A 4,646-nucleotide genomic window follows, 5' to 3' on the forward strand; every position below is an offset into this window, starting at 1 on the left:
TGGAACATTTGTTGAGTGTCCTTGTTCCCCTGGCCTTTGATGGGGACAGGACATAGAAGGAGAACATCTTATTGGGGTCTATAAAGGGCTGGAGGCACCTCATATCTCCATTTGCCTGGAAAGTGCCAGACATCTGGTCTCCCAAGACTGTGGACAGGGTAGGGCTGGGACAGAGGCTGTTGCAGGCTTTGGGGTGGGAGGAGAAGGAGGAAGGGGGTACAGAGTAGCCTAGAGGAAAGAGGCAGCTTGGGTGCAGGAGCTGAGCCTGTCCTGGGTCATAGAAGTGCTGGGTGCAGGTCCTGGCAACTCTGGCATCACACTGGCTCGTGCCTTTGGGCTCATCACTTCCCTTCCCTGAGTGTGAGCTCCACTGTCTGTCAAAGGAGAGGCAGACTCAGCGCTCCCCAGCAGTCAGGAGTACCTGTTGATGCTGTGTGTCCTTGGGCAGGTCACTTAATCTCTCTGAGCCTTTGCTTCCACATCTAGAAGTAGAGCTAACAGCAGCCACCCCCACAATCCACAGGGTCATTCTGGAAACCAAGACATATCTGTGATGGAATGTCCCTTTTTTCTTCTCCCTCCCCCCTCCCCACTTCCTTCCTCCCTTCCTCCCTCCCTCCCCTCCTCCCCTCCTTCTCCCTTCCTCCCTTCCTCCCTTCCTTCCTTAATCTTTGTTGTGCACCTACTATGTTCTTCGAAAAGCCTGAACTGAGGCTGGGCGCTGTTGCTCACGCCTATAATCCCGGCACTTTGGGAGGATGAGGAAGGTGGATCATCGAGGTCAGGAGTTCGAGACCAGCCTGGCCAATATGGTGAAACCCCATTTCTACTAAAAATTGTCTGGGCGTGGTGGTGTGCATCTGTAGTCCCAGCTACTCAGGAGGCTGAGACAGGAGAATCGCTTGAACCTGGGAGACAGAGGTTGCAGTGAGCTGAGATTGCACCACTGCACTCCAGCCTGGACGACAGAGCCAGACTCCATCTCAAAAAAAAAAAAAAAAAAAAAGCAAAAAGAAAAGCCTGAACTGTTATCCCCATCCATCGACTGTGTGTGTTTGTATATATTGAGATGACTCCACTTCACCTCCCTGTGCAGCACATCCCTCCTGCTCTGTGACCTGTGGGATGGGGATGGGGACTCCTGCTCTGAGTGCAGACACGGCCTCCTGGGAGCCATGTGCTTGGAGCTGTTCAGGGACCACAGGCCCAGCTCTCATTAAATTCTTCACTCCAGTCTGTACTGCAGGAGACCTCAGAAAAGGCAGGTTTCATGAATGAAACATCAAAATGTTTACCAAGCAGTAAACACCTGACAGCAGTCCTGGTTTCCTGGACGAGGTGACACAGGTGCCCGGTGGACCTGGTTCCTCTGGATGCTCCCTTGGGAACCTCTGGGCATAGCCTCATGGCTGGTGCCACCCCCCATCCCTGAGCATGGGGACCCGTGGGAACCCTGTATTGAGCACCCCTGTGCGGGGACTCACCGAGCGTGGGACAGGGCTGTGGTCACCCCAGGTACAGAGGAGCCACCGGGTCACAGGGGCCAAGCCACAGCCCAGGGCCCCAGCGAAAAGGCAGTGGGGCCAGGAGGGGATTGAGGCAGGCTGGTTTGGAGCCCACCACAGGCCTCAGCTCTGCTGGTGGATGAGGGTCAGGGAAGTTTGCAGGTGGACAGAGGCAGGAAGGCTAAATTGCCCTCTTAGGCTGGGCACCAAGCAGACCCTTGACACCCCTCATCTCTAGCCTCCCACCTTCCCTGTGAGATGGGCATCATGCTGTTTCCCAGCCAAGGAAACCAAGGTTCTGAGGTCACCCAAGGCCACATGGAAGTGGGAGAGGACAAGGACAGGCGGAAGGGTGGACAGGCCAGGCCAATCTCTTGTGTGTGTTTCTCTGTTGCTCTCTTTCTGTACCTACCCATTCTCTCTCTCCCTTTCTTTCTCTCTCTCTCTCTCTAACACACACACACACACACACACACACACACACACACCACACACACTCTTCCCCAGTGGCTTCTGGCCCCTCTCCTAGCACCTTCCCACTGCCTGGGTGCCCGGCCCTTCTCTGGGCAGAAACCCAGGGGCTGGCCGGGCTCCAGGTGTCTATTTTGCTCTGGCCCAGACACAGAAGCAGAGCAGGAGCCCCTGAGTGTGGGGAGCAGGGGCAGAGCCAGAACTCAGCGGGAGCGTCCTGGCCTGGACCTGAACCTGCGAGGAAGGTTTGGATTTTCAAAGCTAAGGCATGCTGCATGTTTTACTTTAAGTGTTTTCTTGTTCCTTCTCACTGGCTGGTGCCTCCCTCCCTCCCAGGTCACGAAAAGATGTTCCATCAAAAGCAAAGAGGTGATCGCACAGTTTTAAGTGTCAAAGTCAAAGCTCCATCAACGTGATCACATTGAATTCTCTGAGCCCGGTAAGGTCAGGTCATTGCTCCCATTTACAACCAAGAAAACCAAGGCCAAGGTGGGAAGTGAATTGCTGGAGGCCACAAGTTCATTCCATTACTAAGTCACCCAGACCTCTGCCCTGACCTCTAGCCCTTCCTCTTCCCCACTGTCCCATGACAGCTCTGAAATCAGCTCTGGTTTTTTTTTTTTTGGTCTTTAAGACAATAATAATCTGTGAAGTATGTTGGGAAGGTCCTAGGGGACCAGCCAGGCACAAATAAGGAAGCTGGTCCTTGCCAGTGGTCACTTCCTGAATGTGGTGGTGGCCAGTACTGGGGTGACTCTCTGAGGGGCAAGATGAGGTGTTGATATATGACTTCCTTGGGCTCAGCCAGAGCTGTCTCCAGCCTCCAGAAGGGTGACCAGACTCCAGAACTTTTTCTTACCCAGAAAGCCCCGGTGCTCCCTTCACTAAGAGCATTCAGGCTCCGTGACTTTCTTCTCAGGGTCATGGGGTCTTCAGGCTGCCCTGGGTCCAGCCCCACCCAATGCAGTTCTGCCTGCACACCCGGGGGTGAGCCCAACCCCCGCCTCTCCTTTCTGGGCAGTACTGGGGACTCCTGGAGGCCGGGCTGAGTGTGCTTCACTCTCTGTAGGGAAAGTATCCCTGGGAGGCTCTGGGGCCCTCAGGGAAGGGGCTGATGGGGGCCAGTCCTTGCCCTCCTATGGAGCCAGCATCCCTTTGAGCTTGCCTCTGGGGTCTTCTGGGACAAAGTCCAGGAAATTGGAGCTAATAAGGCCGGTCTTATGGGTCATGATCAGGATTCAAGAGTCAGAGTGTCTAGTCCTGTCCATGCTTGGCTATTATTAGTCCTCTGACCTTCTTTGTGCCTCAGTTTCTGCCTCTGTAAAATGGGGATAATCATTGCTTTCTGGTAGGCTTGTTGTGAGCAGTAAATGGATGAATTCGTGTGAATCCTGAAGGCAGTGCCCGGTGCCTCGATAGTCAGCGTTCAGTGAGTCGCAGTGTTGTTGTTATTGTTCTTATTTGGCACCACGTTTCCAGGCACAGTTTGCAGGATGACAGCTTGGGGAAGTAGCTAGAGCTTCTGATTTTCATGTTTAATGCATCTAAGTTTAGGGCTTGGAGCAGGAGAGGACATCGCCATCTGGAGGCAGAGACTCAGTTCTCTGCATCCAACTGAGATGCACTGAAATGCTTCCATTGGCAACTGGGGAGCAGGCATGAAGACAGGGCCAGATGGGACCCCCAGGGATAAGGAAATGAGGTGGAGGGACACAGACGGGCAGCAGCGGGGCAGCTGGCCAGAGAGGCTCCCTTCAGCCCCCACACCTTCCCTCCACTGAGTGAGTCAACCTGGGCAGGCCCCAGAAACTGGAACATTGAAAAGAACATTAGTGTCCAGCATGTCCCCCATTTTACAGATGAGGCCCCAAGAGTGGAAGATCCTTGCCCAAGGTTATACAGCAAATCATTGTCCAGGCTAGGCTGAGGCCCCAGGTTTCCTGACTCCCTGTCTAGTGCCCTTTCTCCTTAGAGAGTCAGGAGAGATGAAACTGAGAGGGGCAGGGCTGACCCCCAGGGCTCCTTAACCTAGGGGTCTCTGAGAGAGGCAGGGCTGACCTCTGGGGCTACTTAGAAGCCATCAACCCAGGGTTCTCTGGGTGGAGCTTGTGACCTGGACCTCATTATCAGGGTAGGTGAATGACTCCTGTCAGTCAGATGGGGATGCTGAGGCTGAGAGAGGGCCAGGCTGGCTCAGGTGGCTTGGCAGGTAAGCAACAGGCAGGGTCTTAGGTTAAGAGCTCTTATCTCTAAGCACAGCCAGCATCCCCGAGCTGATACCTTTCATTTAAAATCTCACCTAGAGCTTTGGAGACAAAGCCGATTTTATTACAGCTTTCATGTCTTGCACAAACCATGCCCACACGCCTGTCGTCTTGTAATTATTCTTGTACCTCTCTCTGTCTCTGGGGTCTCGAGGCTCCTCCAGGCTTGTGCAGCCTCTCCTCCCACTGCCAGGCTCCCAGGGCTAACCCTCAGTGTGGCATAAAGTGCTGCATTATTTATTTCCTAATAAAAAGACAGCTTGGGTGACCCGATGGGAGATTAAAATGGATTTACTATGAGATGATTGACCATAAAACTGCAGGTTAAATCAACATGAGACGAGGTGGGGGACAAGGAGATAGAAAGTAAAGGACAGGAGCTGCTGGTGACATTAGTCAAGGGGGT

General features: G+C 53.7%; 1 annotated feature.

The window, feature by feature from the left end:
- Positions 1,149 to 1,349: a silencer, noted in NCBI's record as "peak141 fragment used in MPRA reporter construct". NCBI's record gives its function as "represses an SCP1 promoter by STARR-seq MPRAs in K562 erythroleukemia cells {active_cell/tissue: K562}" and the evidence as "EXISTENCE:reporter gene assay evidence [ECO:0000049][PMID:32103011]".

Source organism: Homo sapiens, chromosome 1 (genome assembly GCF_000001405.40).
Source record: "Homo sapiens chromosome 1, GRCh38.p14 Primary Assembly".
In the NCBI taxonomy this organism is placed as follows: Eukaryota; Metazoa; Chordata; class Mammalia; order Primates; family Hominidae; genus Homo; species Homo sapiens.